Below are 17,347 nucleotides of genomic sequence, written 5' to 3' on the forward strand. Positions count from 1 at the left end.
GTAAGGAGTAGTGATGTCACTCCTTGGTAACCAGGGTGCTAAGTTCACCCTAGATCTTGGACTCAGTTTTTTGGGTCCCATGTGATAGGACTTAACACCTTTAGAAAAACTGCCTGCCCTTGAGTGTTTGGTCCATCTGTCAAGCCGACAGGACATGGACCTCAGATGAAAACCTGCAGTGTTCTTATCCCTGGCTTCACACTTACCAGATCCATGATAAATGGGGATCTGCTATAGACTGAATGTTTGTGTCCCTCTACATTTCATACATTAAAATCCTAACCCCTAATGTGATGGTATTAGGAGGTTGTAGGGTAAATGGACCTGAGAGCAATAACAAGCATTCCCTTAGAATGACACTGTATGGCAGACACACCTGAATGCATGTTCCAAGCTAGGGAATCTGGGAGTGGCCAATCCAGAGATTTCGTTCCTTTTCTATAAGTAATATCTGAGCCCTAGCCTACCCTGTGGAACACGGGCCATACAGGGGATTGAGGCCCTGGGTTTTGAGTTGAATGAAGGCTGCCAGATGAGGCCATTAAGAGGAGGGTGTTAAGTGAAAATGCTATGTAAATTGCACGCTGTTTACAAGCGGTTGCGATTTTCCTGCCCGGCCTGTTGCTCCTGGGCTGTGTGGTTTTCCTGTCCAGCCTGCTGCGACTGGACTGTATGTAAGGCAGATACCTTGTTCAGCCCGCCACTACTGGACCATATCTGTACATAAGGCAGTTCTCTTGTCCAGCCCACCACCACTGGACTCTCTTCCGTGTATGTAAGCCCCTAATAAAACCCTGTGTCTTGTTTGCTGGCTCTAGGTCTCTTCTTTGGCCTCTTAAACCTGCTGCCTTCCCTATGGAAGTTAACAGGGTTTGGTACAACAGACACAGGGCCTTTGGTGGGTGATTAGGTCATTAGGACAGAGCCCTCTTGAATGGAATTAGTGCCCTTAGAAAAGAGACCCCAGAGGGCTGGGTGTGGTGGCTCACGCCTGTAATCCCAGCACTTTGGGAGGCTGAGGCGGGTGGATCACGAGGTCAGGAGATCGAGACCATCAGGGTTAACAGAGTGAAGCCCCGTCTCTATTAAAATTACAAAAAATCAGCCGGGCGTGGTGGCGGGCACCTGTAGTCCCAGCTACTTGGGAGTCTGAGGCAGGAGAATGGCATGAATCCAGGAGGTGGAGCTTGCAGTAAGCCGAGATCGCTCCACTGCACTCCAGCCTGGGCAAGAGTGCAAGACTCTGTCTCAAAGGAAAAAAAAAAAAAAAAAAAAGAAAAGAAAAGAGACCCTAGAGATCTCTCTTGCCCCTTCTGCAGTGGGAGGACACAGAAAGGAGACAGCCATCTATGAACCAGTAAGCGGGCCCTCGCCAGACACTGAATCTGCTGGCACCTTGGTCTTGGACTTCCTAGCCTCTAGAATTGTGAAAAATGAGTTTGTTGTTTAAGCTGCCCTGTCTATGGTATTTTTGTCATAGCAGCTTGAATGGACTAAGACAGGCTCCTCTACAGAGTTGAGGTTATTGGGGTCCAGAGATTGGCTTTTGTCCCCAGTAGAAAACATAGAAGGAGCTTTTTGGCTGAGGTGAAGTTGCCTCTGTTTTCAGAGCTTTGTGTCCTTGGTGTCTCATATTTATTACAATTGATCATGTGTTCTCACACCCATCCATTGTCTTGAGTACACCTAAGGTGGTATTTTAGCTGTGTTTTTCTGGATTCTGATACTGCTTATAGACAAAAGTCTTAGCGGCTGGCTATCTTGGACTGTAAATTGCCTAAGTCCTAGGTGTGTTGTTCACATGGGCTGTGTTGTGAATGGGACCACGTTTCCCCAATTGTGCAACAGTGCAACATTGTGGCCCTGGTTAAAGGGAAGGGAAGTTAGGTTATTGAAACATGGACTGTGTGCCTCAGGCTGTGTGATTTGTATTCTTTATTTCATTTAATACTCCCTGTAATGCTCTAAAGTAAGTACTTTTATTCTAATTTACAGATGAGGAGACTGAAGTTTAGTGAACTAAGTAAACAAGTAAGTAGTGGTTTGGGGTTAGAGTTTAGGTCCAACTCTAAAGTCCATGTTTCCCTCTCTCATCCAGCTGTTTCCCAATGTAGTTACAGACTTCAGATCTTGCATGTCATCTTGTTTCCATGGCCTCTTTGGCCTTGTCTACCTTGACTTATTTGCCTTGCCTCCCTGTGTCAGTAATCTAAGGATTCTCAACATGGCTGAGGCTCAGGAATATATCCTGTTTGGTAGATAACCTAGAGTCTCTCTCTCTTCCCCGCCGCCCGCCGTCTACAATGTATTTTTGTGTCTAATGTGAGGCAACATTATAACTATAATTGGAGTCATTTTTAAAGAGTAAGTTAGCTCTAAATTTGGTGGGCTGCTTTTCTTAATCCAGTTCCCACAGCATTCTCAGGAAGACGGAAGATGGGGATGGCTCATTAGAAATGAGTTTGAATGAAAAAGGCATTGGGGCTTGGCTTGAGTGGTGGAAAGAGCCTCCCTCAGCCTTTCTAAATTGCGTGGCTACTGAAGTTGGTTGGATCTTTGTAAGTTAGTACTTAATGTCCCTTTTCCAGGGACCTAAGATTCTCTTTTCTCTCTTTCCCGTAGAAGCCCTGCCTCATCATCTGGAGATTCTGGAGCTACTGACATTAGAGTGGAGAGACTTTTTTCTTTCACAGAGTTGTCAGGGTTGTGTACGGGGTGGGAGAGGGGTCTGTGTATAAGGCAGAATCCAGGGAATGGTGGAAGAGGAAGTGTAACATGTTTTTGTGTCTTCAATAGCTTTTCAGCACTCTTTTTTTTTTTCCTCCTCTTTTCTTCTGGAGACTTTGCAGTCTCATTTGAGAAGTGGGGTCCCAAATAAAACAAGGCTGCTACACTCACCCATCTTGTGTTCCAACTCTGCTTCCTTTTCCTGAAGGCTGACAGGCTTTTTCATATCTTGAGTCTTTGTACCTTCTGTTCCCTCATCCTTGAAGGCCCAGTTTGATCTCTTCTCTCTGGAGGTTGTCATGCCCACTTTGTGCCTCCATAGCACTTTGTACAGCCTTTTATATAGTCTTATTCACTTAGCTGTCTGCTTCACTCTCCACATCTTGAACCTCTTAAGAGCAAGAGGCTGAGTTAGTTTCACCTCTCTTTAGCAAGCACAGGGTATGAGGGAGACTAGAGTCTCAAAAATTGTAGAATTGAACAATTCAATTCATTACATCAGTACCTTGGTACACTGATGCCCAAATCAAAAGTAGATGATTGTGTACAACTATCTTGTGTACTTCCATAAACTAAATAAGTTTCTCTTCCATAATTCACTGTTTTGTGTATCTCCCAGGCCCATAGCCCTTCAAACATGCAGTGCAGTAGCTGACTTTGAGAGAGAACAGAGCACAGATGTTATCTTTGCCTGCTTTGCCCTTCACCTCACAGTGCTCTTCTAAGTCCCTGGGCTTGACCCAAGGAATGAGTAGGGAGGAAATGCCAGAAATGAGCCACCCTTGGCATCCTAACTCCTTGGTTTGCAGGTTTGGCCCTGTGGGGCAGTGCAAGGTGAGCAAATGGAAAAGAACCTGTTCCCTGTAATAGCAGCTGAAAGGGATCTCTACAGATTATTACTGTCATCTTTTCGCAGCTGCAGTTGCAGCAATGAGACACTCCCCTCATTGCATTCTGCATCTAAGACAAAATCAATTCATCTTTTAAATTGGCTCTCTTGGCTTGTCCTGAGATTTCTCATAGGGCTGAGAGCCTGAAACAAGTCATCTTACCCGTGTTTTTCTACCATTGTAAGGCCAAAGACTGTGAGATTGTGTACCCTTAGCCCTTCATTTTATACATGGGGAAACTGAGGCCCACCATGGGCATAGGACTAGTTCAAGGTTGGGTGACTAGTGTCAGGTGAGGCTAGACACTGGTCTTCCAACTCCCTGCAAGGTGCTCTCTTCATTATACCCTGCTGTCTCTGATATCAGTTTATGTTTGTAATGCCTGTAGATTGTGAAGTTGGTGAGGCTGAAGTAACCAGGAAACCTGGTTTCTTTTCTTTCTGTCACCTTCCTAGTTTCTGGACATCAGGGCACAGTAGACATTCTGGGAAGACTTAGTGAAGGAGTAAATAAAAAACAAAGTTGGCCCAGGAAAACTGCATGGTCTAAGCCAGAAGAAGACTAACGAAAGCAGATTCCTCCCAGTTTCACTGGACATCTTTGGCTTTGATGATGATTCCTGTGGTTCGATTTTCCCAGTGTTAAATGCAACCTTGGCTGGAGCGTGGAAGAAGTATGGATTGTAACTATGGTATTTTATCTGGTGAAAACCAGGTCTGTAATTAAATGTCTGTGAAAATACCACACCTGGGCTAACTGAGGATGCCTTTGAGTCTTCAGATGCCTCCCTTATTCCCTAGCAGCAATCACAAGACAGAGATTGTGTGCATCATTGAGAACTAACTACATTATACATAGGTAACATTTATTGAATGCTTACTAAGTTTTCTGGAACTTTTTGAGGTATTTACAATTCTTTTAATCTTCACAATCATCCATGAGTAGTTACTATAATTCTTTTAACTTTTCAAATGGACTTTATTGAGATATAATTTACATATAATATACTCATTTTAAGTGCTCAGTTCGAGTTCTGACAAATGTAGTATATGCCTGCGTAACCTCTCCCCTACAATCAAGATATAGAACATTTTCATCAGTAGGTACTTTTGTTATCCTTATTCTACAAAGAGGAAAACTGAAAGACAGAGAAGTTAAGTGACTTGTGTGGGGCCCCATGGTAATAGAACCAGCATTTGAATCCATGCTGTGTGACTGCAGAGTCCACATTCTTCTGAGCTGTGCTACCTTTCATCTCTCAATTTGTGGTCAAGCCATTGCCTCTCTTGTCCTAGTGGACAAGTGCATTAAGGACTAAGATGACATAGACTTACAATCTAAGCACTAGGAGGGGTGTTGGGGAGCAAGAGGCCCAGAGATAGGCAGTGGGGAGGAATGAGATAGCCATCTCAGTACCCCTACAGTTCCAGGACCCAAAGAAGGCAGAACAACGTGCCTTTTGCTCAGCCTTTGCTTCTCCAGGCCTGCAAAGAATAGGGTAGACTAGAGAGTCTTATAATAAGGTTACCAGTATGATATAGTATCTGAAAAAAGGACGGCTCCTAGGCTCACATAACTGGAATAGAAACATAGAAAATGAGAAGAGATGATAGTCTCATATGTTCTGAGAGTGACCTTAGTAGTGGCTGCAGCCCATTCTGGACTTGGCACTATAGAGGCAACATAGATAGTCTGGAGATGGAGAGTGGCCTTGAAATCCAATCCTTTGAGGAGAGGTTGAAGGAGCCAAGACTGGATGCCCTGAAGTGAAAATGTAATCACTGGCTTCATATCCTTGAAAGGCTGTTCTTTGGCAGAGAAAACCAACTTGTTTTTCTTTGTGGCTTCAGAAGGGGTAATTAGAACCCAATGGGTGGGATGGTGTAGAGTATTTTGGAAAAATTAAAGTACAGTGAATATGACATATCTCATATCTCATTAGCTTGGAGTACAAATAAGATCAGATCTTTTTTCAATATTAAAATTAATCTCTGCAGCTGGGTGCAGTGGACCACGTCTGTAATCCCATCACTTTGGGAGGCCGAGGAGTCCAGGAGTTGAAGACCAGCCTGGGTGACATGGCAAAACCCCATCTCTACAAAAAATACAAAAATTAGCTGGGTGTGATGGCATGCATCTGTAGTCCTAGCTACTTGGAAGGCTGAGGTGGGAGGACCACCTGAGCCTAGGAGGCAGAAGTTGCAGTGAGCCGAGATGACACCACTGCACTCCATTCTGGGCAACAGAGCGAGACTTCATCTCAATAATAATAATAATAATAATAATAATAAAATATCTGGAATGAGTGTGAAATTATCTGGAAATTTAATATGTTTCCCTTGGGGCTGTTCTTCTTCCCTCTTTCTCTTTATGAAGTATTCAAAAACTCTAAGGGCTTATTCAATCCAAAGGGGTCAGGCTTAGTTCCAAGTAGAGAACTAAAGAATCTTATTGGCCTGCTAGCGGGCCCCATTTTTAGCTTCTGTTGGTGTTGCACAGTATGGCTTTTAAAAATGGATCTTTCACAGAATGTGGTTTCTGTATTTACTGTAGCCACAAGAACCTGATTCTCCATAAGTCACAGTGGTTCATTGAGGGAGGATGATGGCAGTCCTTCAATGTCACTCTTAGTCCCAGGGTTCACTCTGCTTGAGCTCTCAAGGTGAATGCTCAAGTTTATATGTATATAAGCTCATCCACTGGAGGAGGAAACCTCCACAATTTTCCATTTGGCTAAGTCTAGAAGTGTTTCTAGCTTCCACCACATTCTAGCTCCAGAACCTTCTCTCATGATCACTTTTGTTATAGAGCTTGGGACATCCCTTCAGCATGAGCTCTTACTGTTGGCTGTTGGTGTCCCCCCCTACCTTTAACTTCACCTAGGATCTTGAGTCTGTTAGAGAAATTCTTTTTTTTTTTTTTTGAGATGGAGTCTTGCTTTGTTGCCCAGGCTGCAATGTAGTGGGGCGATCTTGGCTCACTGCAACCTCCGCCTCCTGGGTTCAAGCGATTCTCTTGCTTCAGCCTCCCGAGTAGCTGGGTTTACAGGTGCCCACCACCACACCCAGCTAATTTATTTTTGTATTTTTAGTAGAGACAGGGTTTTGCCATGTTGGTCAGGCTGGTCTCGAACTACTGACCTCAAGTGATCCACCTGCCTTGGCCCCCCAAAGTGCTGGGATTACAGGCATGAGCCACCGCGCCCGGCCTGTTAGAGAAATTCTAATAGCATTGAACTTCAGAAGTAAGGGGAGTCAAAGTTTCAGTCTCTCCCTAGGAGAGCTTTAGACCCTATGCATATTTGTTTTCATTTTCTTCAGCTTTGCATACCAAGGGGTGTTGAGAACAGTCTTTGCCAAGTCACAAAATATCCTGTTGTATCCTTTTCCCCAAGAGCAATGTGTGCTCATTTGCTTTATGTTTTATCATTAAAACAGGGCTCCTCAAGAGTGAGGGTCTGTCCCAGAATGATTTAATGTTTCTAAACATTAAAAGGGACTGACAGGAGGGACTGACAGTTTTAAAATGACAGTTTAAGGCTGGGCACATGGTTCACACCTGTAATCCCAGCACTTTGGGAGGCTGAGGTGGGCACATCACCTGAGGTCAGGAGTTTGAGACCAGCCTGGCCAACATGGAGAAGCCCTGTCTCTACTAAAAATATAAAAATGAGCCTGGTGTGGTGGCACATACTTGTAATCCCAGCTACTCAGAAGGCCGAGGCAGGAGAATTGCTTGAACCCGGGAGGCAGAGGTTGCAGTGAGCCGAGGTAGCACCACTGCGCTCCAGCCTGGGTGACAGGGCACGACTGTCCCAAAAAAAGACAGTTTAAGACCATCATCCAGAATGAGCAGGGTTATCATTAGAAGATGTGAGAAGGGGCAAGTGGCCATGCAGTCTGAACCAGTATCTTGAAACCCCTTTCTCCTAGGAGGGACTCTTACTAATTTTCTCCACTACTGCCATACTAGCTTCAGCAAGGTACTGTTCTCCCTTTATGTTTGGCCCCAAGTTGGGCAAAGAACTTTTCTGTATGACATATAACTGAGCCCTATATAAAATATTTAGACAAGAATTTTCTAAAAACTAAGGGATAGCAATAGAATTGAGACTAGATAGACTAGCTTATAAAATGCTGCTTGATCTCTGGGGCTATCAGAGGATATACACTTAGACAGTACCATCATGATTATCTGGTTATGATGGAAGAGAGAGGAGAGAGGTGTGACTTCTAAAGATCCTTCTGGCTCTGAGATTCTGTGATTCTTCTAGGCTTTTCCAAACTGAAAATTCTAGAACTGACTTTGTTCTGTGATTCTTGCAAATCTTACAGGCCCAACAGTGGGGTCAGGAAAGTAGGTGACTATGACATAGTTGAGGTTACCACTGATCTCATTTCTGCATTTCTCCCAACCACTGCATTCCACTTAGGCCAGAGAAATACAGATGTAAAATACAGCCTTTTAAATGTATGTTTTACCACAATTAAAAAAATACAGCTTTTTTATTTGTCCACAATGTTAGTCTATCCTTTCTCATTTGACCCTCCCAATACCTTGTGATATAGGCAAGAAAGTACTTATTAAGTCATTTTAGAGATGAAGAAATTGAGATTCAGAGAAGTTAAATAATTTACCTGTCCAGATTACACACTAGATCAACTGGTATCCTCAGTGCTCTTAATAAATATTTGTTAAATAAATGAATGAATCAGAACATAGAACTAGGAACAAGGAAGATTCTTTGTTTCCTTGGCCAGTATTTTTCTTTCCCTATTCTTCTGAGCTGCCTGGGGGCTTTCTCTGAGCACCTTTTGGGTTGGCTGTTTTTGGTTGACCTTCTCTTTGGGATTCCCTTGTTCTGTAGCTGAAGCTGTGTGCACTCGTTAGAGATCATCATTCCAGTTGTGTTCCCTAAGGAGTGGGAAGGGAAAAAACACTCCACCCACTGTAAATCTTTTTTTGTTACTTGTTTTCTGGGATCTTCATATCATTGCTGACAAGAGTGACTCATAGACTTCACTATGTGATTTTCTTGGTTAAGAGACCTTTTTCCTTAACTCCAGAAGAAATTAATTCATGGTTTTGTATGGTTAAAGCACAGCTATTTAGTAGCTTTACCCAGAACACAACAGTTCCGTCTTCTAGTGAGCCCAGACTTACCAATTTGGTTTGGCCAAAACTCTTGAATGCCTAGCTCTGTTAGGTGCTACAGAGGAAGCCGTTGGTGTGAGGGGAGGAGAGGGGCTCACTCAGGGTCCAGTTGGGGAGATAAGACACATACATAAATGGGAAAATAGTTTGAGGCAGTTTAAATAAAATGCAAAATCAAATTGTATACATGTAAATATTTAAATGTGGGGAATAGATCATAAGGGGCTGAGAAGGTATAGCAGAAAGAGTGTATGCTTTAGAACTGTAGGCCATTGGCAAGTTAACATAATTCTCTGAACTACTTTTTCCTTTTCTGTAAAATGGGGATAATAACAGCAGACTCACAGGGTTGTGAGGAATAATGAGGTGATGTGTGTAAAGCACCAACATAGTGGCTGATGCATCATGGTAGGCATCGAACTATTGGGAAGCAGCATACCCCCATGCACTGACTGCCTCCCCTACGACCCTTTCAAGGAGCCATCCTGGAGGACCTAAACTGGAAAGGTTGGTTAGCATTTGGAGAAAGAGAAAAGGGGGGATGGCAAGCCATGAATGAAGGAACAGGTCCCACAGAGAATGTCAATCTAGGGGGAGTGGAGGATACATGGAAGAAGCAGTGGAGTAAAATTAAAGAAACAGAGAAGTTTGGACTTTATTTAAAAGAGATGTTTTTATAGGAAGTGTTTTTATGCCATATGCATATATTTATATTTATAGAAAGGCCTTTCTTGTACTCTTCAGTGTAGTGTAGTAGCTAAGAGCTTGGACTCTAGAGCCAGACTGCCTGTCTCTATATGCCACCACTTAGTTTACTTCTCTGTGCCTCAGTTTCTTGAGCTGAGAAATGGAGATGTTGATAATGATACCTCATAGGGTTGTTGTGAGGATGAATGAGGTAACAAATATAAAGTGCTTAGAATAGTACCTGACACATGTGAGGTGCTATAATTTTTATTGTTATTATTTAAATGAAACAAAACTTTTACAAAAGAGTACATGCCTCTACTAATGAACTCTGATAATTAAACAGAACAAAAATGGTCCACTGACTGAGGGATTGATATCTACAGTTCGAAGACTTCTGCTGTAGGTAATGAAGATCCATGAAAGTGGTAAGCAAGGTGAGGCCTGCATAAAGTGATATTAAACAAAACAGATCTGACTGGGAGGTGCAGGATGAATTAGAGGAAAGAGAGTTGGCAATGGGCTCTTGAGATAGGGTGTGTCCATGTTAAATCACCTAACAGTACAAAACATTTGTTATATTTGAAAGTAATTCTTGGTAGGGTTAAGCAGTAGATGTGTAGGACTTGGGCAGCCTTGTCAAATAACGTGAGTTCTGGTGAAAGGAATGCAGCAGTGTTGTAGCAAATAGTATTGCCATAGAAGAAGCATATATATGTGTGTGTGTGTGTGTGTGTGTGTGTGTATACATATATATATATAGAGAGATAGTGTGTGTGTATACATATATATATATATATATATAGAGAGAGAGAGAGAGAGAGAGAGTGTGTGTGTGTCTCAGTGTCACTGTGTTGCCCAGGCTAGAGTGCAATGGTATGATCATGGCTCACTGCAGTCTTGACCTCCTGGGCTAAAGCAATCCTCCCACCTCAGCCTCCTGAGTACCTGGGACTACAGGTATGAACCATCACACCCAGCTAATTTTTTATTTTTGTAGAGAGAGGGTCTTATGTTGTTGTACAGACTGGTCTTGAACTCCTGGAGTCAAGCAGCCCTCCTGCCTCTGCCTCCGAAAGTTCTGGGATTATAGTCAGGAGCCACCAAGTCCTGTCTGTACATATTTTTGAGTATATAAAATGATCAAAAATAGGCTTTAATTACATCTCAATTAAAAAATGTTCAAATAAAAATAGAGTGATCACTGATGACTGTAAAAGGCAGGAAGATCTCATTAGAGGAGGCAGTACTTGGATTGGGTTTGAAGGTAGGGTAGAATTTGATCATTGGTGAGCACTGCATGGAGGTAAGAATGGATATGGTGTGTGATCGAGTTAGTAGCCAAACCAGGACTTCAACCTGGTCTGTCTACTCCAATGAGCTGTGCAGAGAAGCACTAATGGCCATATAATACCTAGACCACTTATAGCAGGCAGTCTCACTATGCATAGCCTCCATTTCCTGGGCAGAGTGGTCTGAGGTGCCTGGATGACACATTTTCAGCTTCCTTGTAAACTTGTAAGTCCCATAAGGGCCAGGCTGATCTGGCATTTGGGGTAGTGTTGAGGGTGGGAAGGAACCATAGACAGTTGCCCTCTTCCATTTGGATGTGCCTCAGGAGAGTTCCTGAGAACCTACCCTATCCTTCTTTGTAGTGCTGCCTGTGCTGTGGGCCTAGAGTGGGCCTAGCTGGAACATGGGTTTGGTGATGGACCGGTAGGTGGCAGGGACTACTGGATTTTGGATTTCCTCTCAATGAACTGTGGTTTCGTATGGGTTGTTTGCTTTGCTCTCTGTTTATACAGCATTAAAGGACTTTTATCTTTATCTTTGGCCAGCTGAAGGTTAAAACCTCCAAAGTTTGCATTTGAACTGGATCATTTCTCATTTTGGCTGGCTTTAAGTCTCATGTCTTAAGGCCATTTGTGGTACCAGCAGACCTCTTTATGAGGTAATGTGTTCCTGGTTGCTTTGGGGGCTAGTGTGCAAGGCAGGAAGTAAGTGTTTGAGAGCAAGGTAGAGAAACCTCTTGTAGAGTCTCAAGCTAATGCTTAGAGCTTTTTGAGTGCAGAGTAGTTAGGTTCTTTACAGAGTTAGATGGACTTTGCCTGGAACAGACACCCCAGAAGGATGTTATCATTGTTAAAGCAACCAGGGTTATATCATTTCTTTTACCCCAAGGCAACTCTTCTGCTAGGAGCCTGGGACCCTCTAGTCTGCTCTTAGAGAGCTTGCCAGCTGTGTCTGTGCATGCTCAGCCTTCTGCCATCTAGATGTTTTGTATTTCCTAAGGCCAAGCTCTGAGGGCATCTTCTTTGGGAAGCCTTTCCTTGACTCCTAGGAAAGAATTAGTCAACTTGCTTCCACAGAACCTGGTATATCCTGTGATTGTAGATATTTCCTAGTAGAAAATGGGGACTACTCACATGATAAGATTGCCACATGCTATCTAAATATTACATGGCCATTTAAGGAGTGCTTTTCTGCATCGTTAACTGGAATAGAGAAACTGGGTTGAAGTCCTGGTTTGGCTGGTAACTTGATGACACACCATACCTATTCTTACCTCCATGCAATGCCTCTTAATTACCTGTCTTCTTCACCAGACAATAAAGACTGTAAGCTGGTAAACTTTTTTTGTTTTTTCTTCTGGTAAAGCTATTGTGCTTTAATAAAAAAAGATTATTGCTCAATATAGGTTTTTCCAAGAGAGCCACAGTCCAGTTCACAGTTAAAAAAAACATCTTCTAGGTCGGGTGCAGTGGCTCACGCCTGTAACCCCAGCATGTTGGGAGGCCGAGGTGGGAGGATCACTTGAGCCCAGGAGTTTGAGGCTAGCCTGGGCAACAGGAGAGACTCTGTCTCTGCAAAACACAAAAACCAACCAAACAAAAAATTATCCTAGAATAGATGGAAAATCATACTAAGGAACAAAGACAACTTTCCTTTCATTTTTCCTTTGCATATCTTACACAGTCATATCACTATGACTTAAAGAAAACAAATTATCACGTATATACACAGATTCACATAAGTGACAGAAGCAAATGTATTAGTCAAAGGATATCTTCATCTATATTGAAGTACAAGCTAGAAAGTAAACTTCTTGAAGGCAGAGATTTTTTTTTTAAGTTGTGTGGCTCTACCACCTAACATAGGTTATGTACAGAATAGACATCAATAGTGAATGAACAGATGAATTAGTTAATGAGTTAATGATGGATTTTTAGCACATTTTCTCTCTTTTTTAGGAACTTAAGACCCCAACTGAGTTGTTTAGAGGAAGGGGCCTTAGGCTGGGGCCAAATTCTATGTCTTCTATGCAGACGTGAGATAATGTGAAATGTTTTCCTTTTACAGGGTGTTTCCCCTGGCTTTTCAGCATTCTTCTCAATTCTTTAATTGCCATTTAAAGATTTGTATGCTGTGGATGAGCTGATGGAGGGGAATGTTTCCCTGAGGACATGGCTTCTCATGGCAGCCAAGGTTTTGTGCCTGATTAACTCGCTGATTGAATCACTGGCCTCTGGAGGCACCAAGGGAGGGAGCATGAGTATATTTAAGCAGCCAGAACTCTCTGTGCCTGTGTAGTGGGAGTGGAGGGGGAAGTGGGATGGGAGTGATGGTAAGTTGAAAAGAGAATGGTCAGAGAAATCTACAGTTTTTAACTCTTCATCAATACTATGTTTTGGATTTTCCTTTTGTGACAGAGTAGTCTAGTAGAAAGAGCACAATTTAAGTAAGAGACTTTCTTCTGTCACCAACTCACTGTGCCACCTAGGACAAATCACTGCCGCCATGTGGGCCTCATTTGTCAAGTGGGATCAGGAATCTCTGCTCTGCCTGACTCCTTGAATTGTAGTGAGCATCGGTGAGCTGTTGGATGACAGAGCTCTGCACAGTAGAGGTGATGGTACCCTAATCAGAGCAGGAGTGTAGTGACTCTGGTCATCATCCCATCATTTCTTGCTAGGGTTTTCCTATCTCTAGAGGAATCAGCTACTAAAGCCTAGTCCTCAATGCTCAATTTCATCTTTCTGTTCTTTCCTGTCTTTATCTAGTGACTCCTCATTATATAATACGGGTGACCCAGTTGTCCCAGCAAGGCCCCTCCATATTCTCTGACTTCCCTCTATCACAGTACTCACCAGGCTGTCTTACCATTGTTTGTTTGGAGGTAGCTATTAGGAGTATAGGCTTTGGAGTCAAGCTGCCTGGGTTTGAATCCTTACTTTTACAACTTACTGGCTATGTGCTCTTGAGCAAGTTACTTATCTCTCTGTGCCTTAGTTTCCTATCTATAAAATGAAGAGAATAATGGCAACTGCCTCACTGGCAGTTATTGTGAGAATTTAAATAAGGCAGTATATATGGAGAGTGGAGACTAGTGCCTGGCATATGGTAAGCATTCAAAAATGTTGTGTAGGCTGGGCATGGTGGCTCACGCCTGTAATCCCAGCACTTTGGGAGGCTGAGGCGGGTGGATCACCTGCGGTCAAGAGTTTGAGATCAGCCTGGCCAACATGGTGAAACACAATCTTTACTAAAAATAAAAAAATAAAAAAAAAAAGAAAAGAAAATTAGCTGGACATGGTGGTGCACACCTGTAATTCCAGCTACTCGGGAGGCTGAGGTAGGAGAATCACTTGAACCCGGGAGGCGGAGGTTGCAGTGAGCCGAGATTGCACCACTGCACTCCAGCCTGGGCGACACAGTAAGACTCTGTCTCAAAAAAAATAATGTTGTGTATTATTATAATAATCATTATTGCTTAACTTCTTCCCTGATTGAAACTCTGTTAGGCCAGGGACCATGTCTATTTTATTATTATATCTATAGTTCTTAGCACAGGTGTATTAGCCATTCTTGCATTGTTATAAAGAAATACCTGAGGCTGGGTAATTTATAAAGAAAAGAGGTTTAATTGGCTCACAGTTCTGCAGGCTTTACAGGAAGCATGGTGCTGGCAACTGCTTAGCTTCTAGGGAAGCCTCAGAAAGCTTACAGTCATGGTGAAAGGCAAAGATGGAGCAGACACTTAACATGGTAAAAGCAAGAGCAAGATAGAGAGTGGGTGGGGAGAGATGCCATACACTCTAAACCAGATCTTGTGAGAACTATCATGAAGACAGCATCAAGCCAGGAGGGATCCGCCCCCATGACCCACACACCTCCCACCAGGCTCCACCTCCGGCATAGGTGAGTACAATTCAACATGAAATTTGGGTAGGGATGAATATCCCAACTATATCAATGGGGTTGGAACAGCAGGCGCTGGATAGGAATTTCTTGAATAATAGTATACATTTGAATGCTGAATTTTCCTTATACAATACTAATTTTATGATCATGAGCAAGAGACTTGCCCTCTCTACACCCCAGTTTTCATATCTGTTAAATGGGAATCAAAATATTTGTCCTGTAGGCCTGATGTGAGAATTAAATTAATATGAAATGCCAGGAAGTGTGTAAATGTCATTCGTCTCCATACCTGTTGGCTGTGTGCATGTGGAACCCAAGAATCTGCTGGTTCCTATAGTACCCCTATAGTGAGCTAAACCCAGAGATGCTTCTGAGGTGATGTTTTCTGGATATTTGGCCTAGGACAAAGAAAGTAGCATACTTTGAGATTATTCTTAGCATTTCTGGCCTTTTCTATCTGCCTGCCCTGCTTGTTCTTCGTTGGATTCTAGGTTCCTAAAAATAACCAGAATATTTTTCTGCCTCTTAGTTTTCCAAGTGTCTTAAGCAATCAGAAGCATTTTAATTTTGGCTCCTTTAGGCTGGCCCTGTTTGGTTCTGTCATTGTTAGCCATTACCATATCCTGCTTATATTATGTTTCCTGACCTGCTATACTTTTTCCAGGGCCAAAACACTACCCACATCGCTCCAGGTAAATAACTTTATTTGGCTCACTCTAACCAGTTGGGAAGCACAGTGGCCCATGAGGTTAGAAGCCTTGAGTTCCAGTGCTGGCTCTGCCACTGTGTGACTGTGTGACATTGGGCATAGCCCTTTCCCTCTCTGTGTCTCAGGCTGTCATCATTAAAATGAATGATTTGAACCAACTCAGTGCTTTGTAAGAGTCCTTAAGTTCTGTATTTGAGTTTGGACAAATCACTTCTCTTTTGGGGGGGTCTTAGTTTCCTCATCTGTAAAACTAAGTATGTTGGCTTGAATAATTTACAAAGGCATATATAAACCTGAATATTTTCTCCTCATTCTTAGTGTTTTTTTTTTTTTTTCTTTCTGCCTTGTATTACTTTCTGGAACATTTCTGTGACAGTTAACAGCTGTGGACAGGAAACCCTTGAACACTTCTAACTTGGCAAATGTTGCTGCTCCTCTGAACCTCATCCCAGCCCATTTCCTGTGTTTACAGCTTTTGGGTTTTGCACTTAGTGACAGGCCTGACAGGTCATATTGTAGTTTTCTCTTCATAGCCTGGTACAGGGTAGACCAAAGTGAGCACCAATTTGAGTGTCAGAAGACAGAGTTTCAGTCTCTGCTCAGCTGTATGACCTTATGGAAGTGACCTCCCTTCTCAGGGTTCAATTTCCTCCTCTCTGGAGCCAGAAAGTTTTAACGAGGGAGGCTTTCTGGCTCTGATGTTGAATATATGTCTCTTGTTTATTACTGCTGACGGGGGCCCTCTGTTTCACCTGTTTTTTCCACATACTCCATCCTACAAGAGACACAGCAGGCTACCTTTGCATTTCCTATATTGGACAAAATAAGAGGAAGAAAGGAAGCCAAACAGCTCTCCCAGGCTCAGTTGGCAGCAGAGAGGAGTTGAGGTGAGAAGCTGGTGTCACCGAATTGCCCAGTAAATCAGCTGTGTGGTTGGTAACCAGGTAGGCACCTGTATGCATTTATTCTTATCAAGGCTCTGGAGACAGACTGTATCCTACTTCCAGACCTACTTTCACCATATATGTGACCTTGGGGAAGTCACTTATTGTATCTGGGCTTCAGTTTTCTCATTTTTTATTGAGGATAATAAAAGTACTGACTTTACAAAGTTTCAAAGAGACAACGTATGTAGAAGTGATCAACATAGTTCCTGACATGTTCATCCTCCCTTTCTCCCTTAGACAGTTAACAGTATTCTTAATTCTGTTCTTGTGGAGAAAGCAAAAAGACACTCAAGTTCCATTCTAGAGGAGCTAACAGGCCACATGAGAACAGAATACAGTTAGGTTTAGAAGAGCTCTTATGAGGTGGTCCGTTGGCCAGTGTAGGCTCAATACTCTGACCTCAAAATGGGAGACTTATAGGGCGCGGAGTAGTTAAAGAAGGCATCCCAGGGCCTTCCCTGGGCCTTGAAGGTTCAGAAAGTATTAGACATGAAAAGCTAGAGAGAGAATAATTCTAGGTACCTATCTACCCTTTCTCAAGCTCTGGTGCTTTGTTTTGTATAGGTCAGTTTCCCATATATCTCCCTTTCTCTTCTTCTAGGTGGTTATTATCCAAGGGGCTTATCTTTTCTTTTTTTAATATATAAGAGAAAAAAATTAAGGGATGAGGAGAACCTAATATTTATTAAGAACAAGCTAGTTTTACTTGAATCTGTAGGCTATGTAGTTTGCTTGCATAATCTTACTTATTTAGAAAAATACATTATTATGCCGTATTTTACAGATGAAAAAATAGTGCCTCCAAAAGGTTAGACAACTTTTCTAGCTCTACAATAACAAATTATGATGACAAATCAAAGGAGCCCTACGTGAGCCAGTTTAGAAGACATGTATAAGCAGGTGTCAGTTGTGCTTATTCATTCCAAGTTCTCAATCTATAATAGTCTGGTTCTTTTTACACTTATCTTCTAAATACGTCTATCTTATTCCTAGTTCCAACCTGTACTCACCTCCTGCTCTTAGCAGTTATT

At 42.6% G+C, this 17,347-nt stretch overlaps 1 protein-coding gene across 22 annotated transcripts in view, besides 1 other annotated feature; it reads left to right on the plus strand.

Moving 5' to 3' along the window:
- The window catches only part of STIM1 (stromal interaction molecule 1), a 238,607-nt gene that overhangs the window by 76,808 nt on the left and 144,452 nt on the right, over positions 1-17,347 (plus strand). The window lies entirely within an intron of this gene.
- Positions 11,520-11,649: an enhancer, noted in NCBI's record as "active region_4319". NCBI's record gives its function as "activates an Ori minimal core promoter by ATAC-STARR-seq in GM12878 lymphoblastoid cells {active_cell/tissue: GM12878}" and the evidence as "EXISTENCE:reporter gene assay evidence [ECO:0000049][PMID:35858748]".

The sequence above is a fragment of the Homo sapiens genome, chromosome 11 (assembly GCF_000001405.40).
Source record: "Homo sapiens chromosome 11, GRCh38.p14 Primary Assembly".
Classification (NCBI taxonomy): domain Eukaryota; kingdom Metazoa; phylum Chordata; class Mammalia; order Primates; family Hominidae; genus Homo; species Homo sapiens.